At 43.6% G+C, this 13,827-nt stretch overlaps 2 protein-coding genes and 1 pseudogene across 4 annotated transcripts in view, besides 1 other annotated feature; all 3 read right to left on the bottom strand.

Annotated features, from left to right (window-relative positions):
• Positions 1–5,573, bottom strand: part of CRHBP (corticotropin releasing hormone binding protein) — a 28,115-nt gene extending 22,542 nt beyond the window's left edge. For 2 of the 3 annotated variants that reach the window (XR_948235.4, NM_001882.4), the window contains exons 1-4: positions 5,403–5,573; positions 4,924–5,017; positions 4,432–4,589; positions 2,755–2,965 (exon numbers count right to left, since the gene is read on the bottom strand). Coding sequence is in view for 2 of the 3 variants with exons in the window: in NM_001882.4 (NP_001873.2) it covers positions 2,755–2,965; positions 4,432–4,589; positions 4,924–5,017; positions 5,403–5,483 (544 nt within the window). In the remaining variant the exon portion in view is untranslated. Of the gene's footprint in view, positions 1–2,754; positions 2,966–4,431; positions 4,590–4,877; positions 5,018–5,402 lie in introns of those variants that run through there. The other variant, XM_047416736.1, reaches the window with a different exon arrangement.
• Positions 4,161–4,847: an enhancer, noted in NCBI's record as "H3K4me1 hESC enhancer chr5:76249596-76250282 (GRCh37/hg19 assembly coordinates)". NCBI's record gives its function as "activates a minimal SCP1, AML or CMV promoter by ChIP-STARR-seq in naive H9 embryonic stem cells {active_cell/tissue: H9 hESC(naive)}" and the evidence as "EXISTENCE:reporter gene assay evidence [ECO:0000049][PMID:30033119]".
• A 91-nt stretch (positions 5,574–5,664) lies between the features above and the next one.
• The window catches only part of S100Z (S100 calcium binding protein Z), a 102,940-nt gene continuing 94,777 nt past the window's right edge, over positions 5,665–13,827 (bottom strand). The window contains exon 5 of the mRNA XM_011543241.3: positions 5,665–5,783. The gene's annotated coding sequence lies outside the window, so the exon portion shown is untranslated. The remainder of the gene's footprint in view (positions 5,784–13,827) is intronic.
• On the bottom strand, positions 9,748–9,827 carry RNU6ATAC36P (RNA, U6atac small nuclear 36, pseudogene; annotated as a pseudogene).

Here is a 13,827-nt window from a genome sequence, read left to right as displayed (position 1 = left end):
AGCATATATACCACAAAAGCAATTTGGAGACAGGAAGGATTTGGGGAACAAAAACCATCAGTGACACGTGGATATTGTCAGGAGGCCCTGGGCTGTGAGGGGGCTTCTAATGTTAATCTTAGGGGGTTACCTTGTTTATAACAATCACAAGACATAACACAGCACCCAAACAAATACTAGCTGGTAGTAGTTCTAGGAACACTTGAGTTAACTAGAGTCCAGCTTAAAGCTAGGAATCTGGAAAAATCGAGGCTTAATGGTGAGTCCAAAACTCAAACTCTGTCTATTTTTAAATAATAAAGTAAATAATTTTAAGTATTTTCTTTTTCATTCTTACTTATTTTCTTTTTTAAAAAAACTTAATTTTTATTTTAAAACTGGGGGCCTAGGATGCAGCTCGGCAGCTTCACCATGGCCCCAGGCTTATTTTAAGTATTTTTCTTTTCTTTTTTTTTTTCTGAGATGGAATCTTGCTCTGTCACCCTGGCTAGAATGCAGTGGCACCATCTCAGCTCACTGCAACCTCTGCCTCCCGGGTTCAAGTGATTCTCCTGCCTCAGCCTCCTGAGTAGCTGGGACTACAGACATGTGCCACAACATCTGGCTAATTTTTGTATTTTTAGTAGAGACAGGGTTTCACCACGTTGGCCAGGCTGGTCTCGACCTCCTGACCTCAAGGGATTCACCTGCCTCAGCCTCCCAAAGTGTAGGATTACAGGAGTGAGCCCCCATGCCAGGCCTATTTTAAGTATTTTTCTAATAGTGAGAAAATAGGCTGAGAAAAAAATGAAAGACAGCAGTATTAAGTCTGATAAATATTTGCTGCATGTTAAGTGATAAGTTAACTAAAAGGTGCATTTTTAATGTTTAATTTACTCCCAAGAACTTCTACAATTTTTTGTTTTATATCTCAAATCTAAATTTACAATACATTGGCCGGGAGTGGTGGCTCACGCCTGTAATCCCAGCACTTTGGGAGGCCGAGGCGGGTGGATCACGAGGTCAGGAGTTCATGACCAACCTGGCCAAGATGGTGAAACTCTGTCTCTACTAAAAACACAAAAATTAGCCAGGCATGGTGACGGGCGCCTGTAATCCCAGCTACTCGGGAGGCTGAGGCAGAGAATTGCTTGAACCCGAGAGGCAGAGGTTGCAGTGAGCCAAGATCGTGCCACTGCACTCCAGCATGGGTGACAGAGCAACACTCCGTCTCAAATAAATAAATTTACAATACATTAATTAGTCTAGATATGAAACTAGAAGCATCAGAATTTGTACTTTTTTTTCTGATTACTGGATGAATCAACATTGATCAGAACAGATCAGAAACACCTCTTGCCTCCTTTTCATATTTTTAATTATACTTACTTTCAAAAAGGACTGAAATTCCTTGATGGTTCTAGGAAGTTTCTTTTTTTAATAAACTTTTTTAAAAGTTTTAATACAGACAGGGTCTCACTTTGTGGGCCAGCCTGATCTTAAACTCCTGGGCTCAAGTGATCCTCCTCCTCGGCCTCCCAAAGTGCTAGGATTACAGGCATGAGCCACCACGCCTGGCCCAGGAGGTTTCTGATTTCTAACTAAACAAAATATAGGGGAAACTCTTTATTTTGTCTTCTAGAATTCTTCTGTTGCAGTCCTCAGGAACAGCCTTTTTGGGGGGCTTTTTCAAAAATTCTTTTGTTTTTTCAGAACTAGAAATCAAAAGATCAGTAGTGCATTATTCTTTGGCAGATAAAGGCCCCATCTTTCAGCCGCATGAAGTGTTACCATTAATTCTACTGTATGCAAAAATGAGTGATATGTGTTCCTTTTCTAATTTTTTAAACAGATTTTTCTCTTAATGGGGAAAAAACAATTAGCAGATGAGTAAATTCATTTTTTTTTTTTTTTGAGACAAGAGTCTCCCTTTGTCACCCCGGCTGGAGCGCAGTGGCGCGATCTCAGCTCACTGCAAGCTCCACCTCCCAGGTTCACGCCATTCTCTCCCAAGTAGCTGGGACTACAGGCGCCCACCACCACGCCCAGCTAATTTTTTGCATTTTTAGTAGAGATGGGGTTTCACTGTGTTAGCCAGGACGGTCTGGATCTCCTGACCTCGTGATCCGCCTGCCTTGGCCTCCCAAAGTGCTGGGATTACAGGCGTGAGCCACCGCGGAGTAAATATTTTTAGTAAGATAATATGCTTTAGACCTGGGCTGTTCAGTTGTGTAGCATAAGCTACGTGTGTGTCCATCATAAATGAATTGAATTAGAGTGGTGGGCTCAGAATCAGAAGGTAACATTGAGGTGCTATAATCCAACCCTCTGGTCAGGGCATGACATCGGTCTACCACATTCAGGCACAGGCTGAAAGACATGGAGACTTTCAAGCCTGTGCCTGAATATCTCTAAGACTGCAACTTTATATCTGATCACTCAAGCTTATCCTGGATTAGTGAAATGACTTGGAAGATTAAAGCTTATCACTAAATGCATTGTAGAACCTGAGAAGCTCAGAGCAAGACTTTGGAGAAAAGATAGAATTGTACTCTTCATAAATTAGTATACTACCTAACCTGGGAAATAAATTAAAAACTGTGATTTGATTTTCATAATAAAGAATAGAAACTATCCTTTAGGTCATTTCTAATTACAAAAAAATTTCCATTCAAATCATTCCTCAGTTCAAATTTCTTTAAGTCTGTGCAATGATACTACTTTCAAAAAGCGGGTCTATATCCGAAGTTCTGCCTTTTGACTGAGAACACTTACGAAAGAGGTTGGGGTCTGTCTTTATGGTTAATGTGAATCCATTTCCTGGTTCATGGACTCGGAAGAAGATCATGGCCACATTCTGGGAAGATCTGATGCTCCTCCTGCTAAGACCACTCTCACAGAAATCTATGTACCGCTCAGCTGAGGGGAGAGGATGATCCTGGGAACTGGGGAACTTCTCCCCCTTGAGAATCCAACCATCAAATACCTTTGAAAAAAATACAGACATAGATGCTATCATTTCCATCAACTCCTGAAGTCTGAAATGAGTTGAAAAGGGGGGGAAAGTCATCCAGCAATGGGCCTTCAGTCATAAGTGAGAATCGACAGTCCACACTCTGCCTGCTCGCCTTTTCATTTGTATATATTGGATGGTGAGGGTTGTTTGCAAGTAATAGTATTAATTAATTTTTTATAAGCCTTAAAGCTTCCAAAGTAAGTAAACTTCCTTATACTTTATCATTTCAACCACTTTGGTAAATAAAACAACGTACAATGTACATTTTTACCTTGGTCATATTTTCTACCTCTCACCTTCAGAAGAATTCCACAAAAGCATAATTTAGGTTTCGTGCAGCTTCTCTCTTTCCTCTAGTCATTGAAATGTGAACAAAATATCTTGAAAATAGATAGCAAAAGAAAAAACTGGAGCAGCAACTTTACCTGCTAATGACTATATACACCCATTTTTCTCATTTTTTAAAAATATCATCACATATTACTTTAAAATGTCAAGAACTGCTTCAACAGCCAGGCAATGATGGCTGGTATGCTACCTGGAACATTTTTCCTTCACTTGTTAAAGTTTGCAGTTGAACAAAGGGTCAGAGTCTATTGACTTGACCCTCAAAATCACCACAGGTCTCCAGTTTAACGAGTCCAATCTAGTCCACATTAGCAAAATTACCAACAACCCAGCTACAAATTATTTCTAACGCATGTGACAGGTTCCAAAATAATCCTACTTTGGAGATGTTAATCATGATTATTTTAATTGGACAGTAGAGCTCCATCAGCCATCCCATGCTGCCCTGTTATACTTATGGAGTCTGACGACTGGAATCGAGGAGGCAGTGAGCTTAGGGGTCTTGTCCTGCCCTCCCACCTATCTCAATCTAGATGCCCCCTCGGCAGCCAGTCCCCTACTGCTCCAAAATCGGGTCACCCGCGCACTGAAGACAGCCTCTGTGCTCTCGGAACGGCTCTGCCGAGCGTGGACCAGCAGGAGCGAGGCGGGCTCAGATGTGAGACGTGTGGGGCGGGCCTTCTAACCAAGACGGCCCGCTTGGTGGACCCCAGCACTCGAGCTTGTTGGGTTTTAATCATTTTTCCTCGGCCCTGGATTGCGTCAGAGTTCCGCGCTGCGAGTTCAAGTCTTTAGAAGTTCCTAGGGCCTCGAAAGCGCCCAGAAGGGAATTTAAACCATGGCAGCGTCCAGAGGCACCGGCCCCAGCCCCACTGGATGTGTGTGGGTCGAGGTCTTCGGGTAAGGGCGAGATTCTCGCCGTGTGGGGGTCCTCGAACGCGCCTCTCCGACTCGGGCACCAGCGAAGTGTCTAAGAAGTGCCACTGGCTACCTACGCTCAGCAGCCCCACGCTGGGTGCAGCGCCCCAGCCCTTTCCAACCCTCCCGTGCCGCCCTCCGGCTAGGTTGGCTGGCCGTGGGCGCCTCACCTTCAGGAAGTCGCCGCCCTGACAGTCGATGGAGACCTGGTCGTAGTGGATGGTAATGAACTCCTCGGGCTCGCTGATGAAGAAGGCTGCGCAGTGCAGCTGCGGCCGGTCGGCGGTGAAGGTGAACTGGCCCTGGAGGCTCAGCATGTCCAGGCACCCTGGGGGAGGAGGGCATGGGGCAATAAGTCCCGGGCTGCAGCCGCCGCAGCGCCGTCCTCGGGCGGCCGCTCTCCGCGCGCCCCATTCCCGGGCTCTGTAGTGCCCAGCGCCCCGACTTCCAGCCTAGGCTGCGCTGGGTTCCTGCGCCCCGGGCGCGCCACCCTCTCCCGCTCCTGGCGCGCCTCCGCGGACCGATCCTTAGCTAAGGGGACCGCGCCCCTGGCGGTTCCGGCCAGCCCCTTCCCCGAGATGTCCGCGAGCCCTCTGCCCCCCGCACAGAGTCCCACCTTCCCCGCGTCCCGGGCGCCCGCGAGCCGGGCAGCCTCGACTCACGCAGAGCGCGGCGGTACGGCTGCTCCCCAGCCAGCTCCCGCTTCAGGTTGGCGCTGAAGAGCAGGAAAGGATCGTAGTCCGCCGCTTCCCTCAGCTGGCAAGAAACATAGGTCAGTCCGGAAAAGTTCAAGGGCTGGGGATAAAAAAGGGGACCAGGAGCGGGGCACCCTCCCTGCCACTCAGCATAGCGAATAAAGAGAGAGGGGTAATGTTTTCCCGTGTCCGGAGAAGACGGGAAGGTCTTAGACCCTCTCCATCAGGCCAGGGTATCCCCAGCGGCCAGAGGAAGGCAGGCAGGCAGTCTGGGATGCTCAGAGGCAAGGAGGGAGAACAGGATAGGGGAAACCAGGGGCAAGACAGCATCCAGCAGAGAGGGAAGAAACAGCGAACCCCAAAAGGCTGCGAGCAGAGGCAGCCTGCCTGCCGCCTAGGGCTAACACGCAAGGAAGGTGAGATGGGTCAGTCCAGGGGTGGCTCACCTCTAGGTACCGGCTTTCCCCTCTTAGAGCCGTCAGGAAGATGAGAATGAAGTGACACTGAAGTTTGAAGTTGGGCGACATGCTGGCCTTGCCTCTGCAGCTGCTGTGCTCTGCTCCGGAGGTCCTGGGCTTTCCTTCCTACACCCTCGCGCAGACTGAGAGCTAGAAGCTGGTAGGGTCCCTTTGCTGGGTCTCTTTTATAGAGCAGTGGGGAGCGGAGGCTCTCTGCCCCTTAACTGATCGGAGCTCAGTAACCATGGGTTACCCTGTCTCATTGACAGAGTACGTGGCGATGACGAGGGTCCAGCTCTCAGCCACAAATTTTCAGCGTGGCCCAGCATTATTCACCAAGAATGATTTCAGTCACTACAACTTAGTGCACTAAAGTGTTGGAGAATGAGGCGGAGACAAAGAATAAGGGAGTGCATTTTGTTGACCTGCTAAATGCTACATTATACTTTTCTGTGGGCATTCAGGGAATTTTCCATTTTGCAAATCAAAGTGACAAAGTTACATACACGCATAAAATACCCAAACATATAGAGCCTATATTATGCAGCCTCATCACATAACCTTGGATGAAACCATGCTAGAAATTGTCAAAGAATTTAGTATTCATGGAATTTCTCATGTCTCTCAGTAAGAAACTTGAGGCATTTTCAGCTTTAAAGAGGTGGAACAGAAGCAGAAGTCTGATTTTGCAGAAGATTGCAGTAATGCAATTATAAGCTTTCTTCCTGCCCCTTACTCTTTGCTTTATCCTGGTCCAGTTTCTTATAGGCATTTCTTTCATGGAAAACTAACTCTGGTGTCAGGGGACTTCTGGATTTTAGCTGAGCTCTGTCACTTGACCTGGATGTTTACATGATGTACACACTCCTAGACCAGGTAGCTGTAGCCATGACCTTCGCATCCATCTGAACCACTGAGAGATGAGATTAAGTCATTCCATTTCGTGCCTTCAAATACCTGGATTACTTTAACACTCTGGTAGAAGGAACTGCCAGGAAGCTTTATTGTAACTGCTCACCAGCAAATTTGCAGGGCTAAAAAGATGACTTAGGGATCCGGAAATAAGTATAAGCTTATCTCTGCTTATCAGGAGAGAAGAGAATTTCTTCTTTGTGTCCAAAACTGTGGGAAACATGAGGATGCTCCACTATTGGCTTTCCTACCCCTTTCCAGTCTCTGCACCAAGCATTGTTATTACAATTATTACAAATAGACCATAATACAGAGTTATAAAGGAAGGAATGGCTATATTTTCAGTTTTAAAATACTCGAAATTAAACAGTAATTATCCTGGCAGTGTCAGAACTTGATTATTTTCATGTCAGGACAATTCTGAGCTCTGGAGAGGCGGCCTCTTTGTTGGTTTAATCAGGAGGCCTTCGTGCCACAGTCCAACTTTGTAAGCAGTCCTCAGACCACAGACAGTGAGAGGGAAAAGAGTACCTAAAGCTCATGGACACTGGCCACCATGTCCTTCTCATCCCAAGGGCTGTTTAGATGCCTGAATTTTGAAAAGGTTATAAAGAAACCTGGGAGGAATAAAAGAGGAGAAAAACAAACAACTTAACCCCAACTTGCTGGCCTCAAACATGCCAGGCCATCTTCAGCTCTATCTCCCACCCTTTTTGTGCCTAGAGGGAGCCTTAGGCCCACTCACCAGGCATGCCACAGGCCCTCTTCTCTTTCCCATTGATGTAGCCACAGCCCTTGGCCTGTTCCCAGAATTCAGTCCAGCACCCACCTTGGAGACCTCTGCCTTTACCTCTTAGGGGGTCTGGCACCTGATGTCACTCCAGCTCAATGTTGCTTTGTTAGCATCACCAAGGAGACATTCTTCTCCAGCCAGCCCCTTTACAAGCATATGCACATGTGCACATGTGCACACACACATGCACGCATGCACGTGCACAGACAACAGTGATGTTCCCACCCTGCTGTCATGATGCCCACTCCTCAGGAACCACACACAGCAAGAGCTGGGATGAATGAGCACTAACATAGTGACTGATTTTACAAACATCATAGCATAGCATCTGATTTTACTTAATCCACAAATTATAGTACAAGATGGACCTCATTCCCACCAAATTCTAGGTGGATAAATTAATGTGTAGTTTTCACCAGTTTGGTAAATATCTACTAAGCCAGTGGAAACTACCTTTTCTAAAAAAAAAAAAATTAATGGTAATTAAAAGATGGAAACTACAAGCTATCGAGAAAAACTAAGAAGATTAAATTGGAAGACAAGGAGAAGCCAGGTAGCCATTCTCTCTGAGAGAAAGTATTAAAAATAGGTGAGAGAAATGGAAGAGTAATTTGGATTAGGCCGAAGAAAAATTTTCTGGGCAATAAGTAGGCCTATGTGTGAAGACTAAGGATAAATTATTTTCATGGACTGCTTTGGTCATTCAAACAATTAGCTTAATATTTGAAAGTTGTTTGTTCAAGCAAACTGGATTTTTTTTTTAAATATGTTCTGGGAAAACTCAGAGTCCCCAAGTATGCTGATTGGAAATTACCTGTATGTTAACCTCCATTACTTTCAAATATTTCAGTTTTTCTCCATATTTTTCCAGATAGCTTCTCCAGTGTTGATGTTATACAGTCCCGGATAGGTGTTTTTTGGGTCTTCGACTATTGTTAGGCAGGGTTAATACTTTCTTTTTGTTAGGTAGGAATAAGACATTTTTTCTTTCACAAAGCCCCAGAGCAAATTGTCACCTATGTTAAGCCTGAAGGCCAGGGTGGCCACACAATAGCAGATCCATATTCAATCCATGGACATGGGGGCAGGTGCAGAATTTAAAATTGTGCCTAGACTGATGAGACACACACAGAGAACTTCTGACACTTCATGGCAGAGCCTCCACAGGCTGCACTTGGCTTTCACAGTCACATTATAGGCCATGTTTTCAGGGTGACCACAAAATCCCTATGCACGCAAGTTAGAAGTTGTAATATGACCTGTGATAATAAATTTTTTCTTTTATTTATCACGTCAACTTAGAACATCACTAATCCATGCTTTAGATGAACTTCCTTTTTCCTTTCCTGATTAATCGATTAGTTGAAATGTTAGAAAATAGAACATATCATTGCGTTCTTTAAGAAATAAAGACTACTGAATAAAACTCATTGTAGTTAGCCAACAACAACAACCACCAAATAGTTTTCCATTGCTTTCAAGATGATTTGTTTGAATGAATGTAGCTATTATTTTTATTTTATTGTGGTAAGAAGAGTTAAAACACGAGATCTACTCTCTTAAAAGATATTTAAGTGCACAACACAATATTATCAACTATAGGCACAACGTTGTACAACAGATCTCTGGAACTTATTCATCTTGCATAGCTGAAACTTTATACCCATTATTAGCGATTCCCCATTTTACCCTCCTCCCAATCCCTGCAACCATCATTCTACTGTCTTCTTCTACGAGTCTCACTATTTTAGATAGCTCATGTAAGTGTAATCGTACAGTATTTGCCCTTTTGTGGCTGGCATCTTTCACTTAGCATAATGTCCTCAAGTTTCATCCATGCTGTAGTATATGACAAGGATTTCCTCTTTTCTCAGACTGAGTAATATTCCATTGTATGTATATACCACATTTTCTTTATTCATTCGTCAACATTTAGGTTGTTTCCACATCTTAGCTATTGTGAATACTGGTGCAACGAACATAGGAATGCAGGTATGTCTTCAACATACTGATTTCAATTCTTTTGGAAAAATACGCAGAAGTGGGCTTGCTGAATCATATTACCATTCTATTTTTATAAAAACTTTTATTTTTTCATTATTTTTTTTTTGAGATGGAGTCTTGCTGTGTTGCCCAGGCTGGAGTGCAGTGGCATGATCTTGGCTCACTGCAAGCTCTGCCTCCTGGGTCCACGCCATTCTCCTGTCTCAGCCTCCCGAGTAGCTGGTACTACAGGCGCCTGCCACCACACCAGGCTAATTTTTTTGTATGTTTAGTAGAGACGGGGTTTCACCGTGTTAGCCAGGATGGTCTTGATCTCCTGACCTCGTGATCTGCCCACGTTGGCCTCCCAAAGTGCTGGGATTACAGGCGTGAGCCACTGTGCCTGGCCTAAAAACTTTTATTTTAACTTCAGGAGTACATGTGCAGGTTTGTCACATAGGTAAACATGTGTCATGGAGGTTTGTTGTACAGATCATTTCTTCACCCAGGTATTAAGCCTAGTACCCATCAGTTATTTTTCCTGATCCTCTCCCTCCTCCCACCCTCCAACTTCCAATAGGCCCCAGTATGTGTCATTTCCCTCTATGTGTCCATGTGTTTGTTCTCATCATTTAGCTCCCACTTATAACTGAGGACACACGGTATTTGATTTTCTGTTCCTCTTGTCAAGGGGAATGTTAACCTTCTCTCCTTTCATACAATACTCCTCTATTTTAATTTTTTGAGGAAAGTCCATAGTGTTTTCCATAATGGCTGTGCTAATTGCCATTCCCTCTAACAGTGGCCAGGGTTTCCTTTTTTCCCTGCCAGCACTTGTCATCTTGTATCTTTTTGATGATAGCCATCTGAACAGTTTCGAGGTGATGTCTCGTCGTGGATTTGATTTGCATTTTCTTGATCTTGGTGATATTGAGCATCTTTTCATATACTGGTTGGCCATTTGTATGTCTTCTTTGGAGAAATGTCTATTCAAGTCCTTAGCCCATTTTTAAAATGACTTAATAGGTTTTTTGCTGAGTTGTAGGAGTTTCTTATATATTTTGGATATTAACCACTTATCAGATACATGGTTGGTAAGTATTTTCTCCCATTATGTAGGTTACCTTTGCACCCTGTTGATCATTTCCTTTGCTGTGCAGAAGGCATTTATTTATTTATTTATTTATTTAGAGACAGAGTCTCACTCTGTTTCCCAGGCTGGAGTGCTGTGGCATAATCTCAGGACACTGCAACCTCTGCCTCCCAGATTCAAGCAATTCTCCTGCCTCAGCCTCCCCAGTAGCTGGGATTACAGGTGTGCACCACCACACCCAGCTAATTTTTGTATTTTTAGTAGAGACGGGGTGTCACCTTGTTGGCCATGATGGTTTCGAACTTCTGACCTCAAATGATCCACCTGCCTCGGCCTCCCAAACTGCTGGGATTACAGATGTGAGCCGCGGCTCCCAGCCTGCAGAAGAAGCTTTTTGGTTTGATGTAGTCCCACTAGCCTATTTTTGCTTTTGTTGCCTGTGCTTATGGTGTCATATCCATTAAATCATTGCCAAGACCAATGTCATGATGCTTTTTCCTGTTTTCTTCTAGGAGTTTTATAGTTTCAGGTCTTACACTTAAGTCTTTAATCCATTTTGAGTTGATTTTTGTGTAAGATTTAAGGTAAAGGTTCAATTTTATTATTTTGCACTTGGATATCCAGTTTTCCCAACACCATTTGTTGAACAGATTATCCTTTCCCCATTGTATATTCTTGGCACCCTTGCTGAAGATGAGTTGACCATATATGTGTGGATTTATTTCTGGCTCTCTGTTCTGCTCAATTGGTCTATATGTCTGTCTTTATGCCTGTACCATATTGTTTTAACTACTGTAGATTTGTGATATATTTTGAAATCAGGAAGTGTGGTGCCTCGTGCTTTGTTTCTTTCTCAAGAATGTTTTGGCTACTTGAGGTCTTTTAGGTTTCATACGAATTTTATAATTGTTTTTCTATTTCAGTAAAAAAAGGATTTAGCTATTTTTAATGCAACTGTTTTTAATAGATAAGATTTATTTTTCATGTGTGTTTGAGATCAGGAAGGAAGAAACGAAGCACATAGCCTTTGGGGAACTAGTATAAATCAGCTTTTGAATGAAATTCTAATGTGCCAGCTATTTTCAACCCAAATGATGATCAACAGTTGGTAAAAGTTCAGACTTTTCAGGGTTGCAAGTGACTGATAACAAACTTGAGCGTAAGCCAAAAGGGAAATTTTTTATCAGGACACGAAGACTTCTTCCAGAATACATGGGGGGGCCAGGACGTGGGGGATTAAAGGCAGGAGTGTGAATGCCACTCCCCAGTCTCTCTGTCTGCTAGCTGACTTTACTGACATCTGCAGTCCCTGTGCTGGTAAACAGGCCACCAACAATTCTAAGTTTTACATGTTACTGTTAGACAAATAAAAATAACATAAACTAATGTGCTTCACACAATTGTAGGACGAGGCCCAGAGGCCAGGGGGTAGGATGTTGTCATAACAGGACTGTTCTCAATGCAGCCATAGGGATAGAGAAGGGAGAAGCAGTTTTCAGAAGAAGGGATGCTGAATCCACAAAATGATAGGTTTCCGCAAAAGAGTTAAACAAAACAAAACAAAGGCCCACCTCGATTCAATGTCTTTGATTGTAAATTTTCTTACATGTGAAATGGTGATATATACTAAGAATTATTGTAGGGATCAAATATTATAATATATATAATACATAGAGAATGTATTTAAATGGTAGCTGTTATTGAATTATACCAACCATATTATATGTCTTTATCCCTAGGGTTTTACTCCTAATAATAATAGTTTTATATGAGTGCATGCATAGGATATGTTTTTCATATTATTATTAAATTAGAAGGAATGACTTCATATTAGAACATTAACAGACTTTAAAAGCCACAGTTAGAAAAAGAGGGAACTAAGTTAAAATATAATTACAGAACTGCATTTCAAAAGATTAGCTAGGAATGGGTCCCATTAAAGATTATGCACCATAATATAGTAGTTTAGCTGCATCAGAGAGAAGAGCTGAAATGTAGAGTGTAGTGAAATTGAGAAGATTGAAGAAAGGGGGAACTGGAAGTTATAAAGCAGAAACAGAAAATAAAATAATTAGGAACTGCCCAAAAGAAGTAGTATTTTGATCCCATATCAAGGATTGTTGAATGACATCATCTATTAAGGCCCAGGAACACTGGGAATAAGAAAGTGGTGATTTGGCGAGAAGGCTTTTGAAGAGTAATAATGGGAGGAAAGGGTGAGAGATTAAGTGATCTATCTACCCAGATTATCGCAGTGAATCAGAAACAAAATCCAGACTAAAGAGATCCCTGTGTCCAGCCAGGCAGTCAATCCTTCACAGACAATAGCCTTGGAAATTAACCAAATGACTAGACTAGCAGCAAAAAAATGAGATGGTGCAGCCTAAAGCGAGATGCCTGCAGATGGATAACTGTGAAGGAGATTGGGGATTGTTCTTGTTTGCACAATGGCCTTTGGAGTACCTCAATTCCTGAAGGGGTGGCCTGCCCCTCCACACCTGTGGGTATTTCTCGTCGGGTGGGATGAGAGACTGAGAAAAGAAATAAGACACAGAGACAAAGTATAGAGAAAGAACAGCGGGCCCAGGAGACCGGCACTTAACATACAGAGGACCAGCACCGGCACCGGTCTCTGGGTTTCCTCAGTATTTATTGATTACTATTTTCACTGTCTCAGCAAGAGGAATGCAGTAGGAAAGCAGGGTGATAGTGGGGAGAAGGTCAGCAAGAAAACATGTGAGCAAAGGAATCTGTGTCACAAATAAGTTCAAGGGAAGGTACTATGCCTGGATGTGCACATAGGCCAGGTTTATGCTTCTCTCCACCCAAACATCTCAGTGGAGTAAAGAGTTGCAGAGCAGCATTGCTGCCAACATGTCTCGCCTCCCGCCACAGGGCGGCTTTTCTCCTATCTCAGAATAGAACAAATGTACAATCAGGTTTTATACCGAGACATTCCATTCCCAGGGGCAGGCAGGAGACAGAGACCTTCCTCTTATCTCAACTGCAAGAGGCCTTCCTCTTTTGCTAATCCTCCTCAGCACAGACCCTTCATGGGTGTCGGGCTGGGGGACGGTCAGGTCTTTCCCATCCCTTGAGGCCATATCTCAGGCTATCACACGGGAAGAAACCTTGGACAATACCCGGCTTTCCAGGGCAGAGGTCCCTGCAGCTTTCCGCAGTGCATTGTGCCCCTGGTTTATGGAGAATGGCGATGACTTTTACCAAACATACTGCCTGTAAACATTTTGTTAACAAGGCACATCCTGCACAGCCCTAGATCCCTTAAACCTTGATTCCATACAACACATATTTTTGTGAGCTCAAGGTTGGGGCAAAGTTACAGATTAACAGCATCTCAGGGCAAAGCAATTGTTCAGAGTACAGGTCAAAATGGAGTTTCTTATGTCTTCCTTTTCTACATAGGCACAATAACTGTCTGATCTCTCTTTCTTTTCCCTACAACTCCCTTCAGCCTTACTCTAAAATATGCCATGACTAACATCTAGCCAGTAGATCATAATGAAATGCCATTTAACATCCCTCACTGCCTGCATCAAAGGGAAAAATACTGCCAGGTCCAGAACCGTTGGTGTGTCTGTCGTTAAATAGTGGTGACGCATGGGCACGTA

Source organism: Homo sapiens, chromosome 5 (assembly GCF_000001405.40).
Source record: "Homo sapiens chromosome 5, GRCh38.p14 Primary Assembly".
Lineage (NCBI taxonomy): Eukaryota > Metazoa > Chordata > Mammalia > Primates > Hominidae > Homo > Homo sapiens.
The sequence above is the reverse complement of the archived record's forward strand: the minus strand, read 5'-3'. Positions and strand labels throughout refer to the sequence as shown.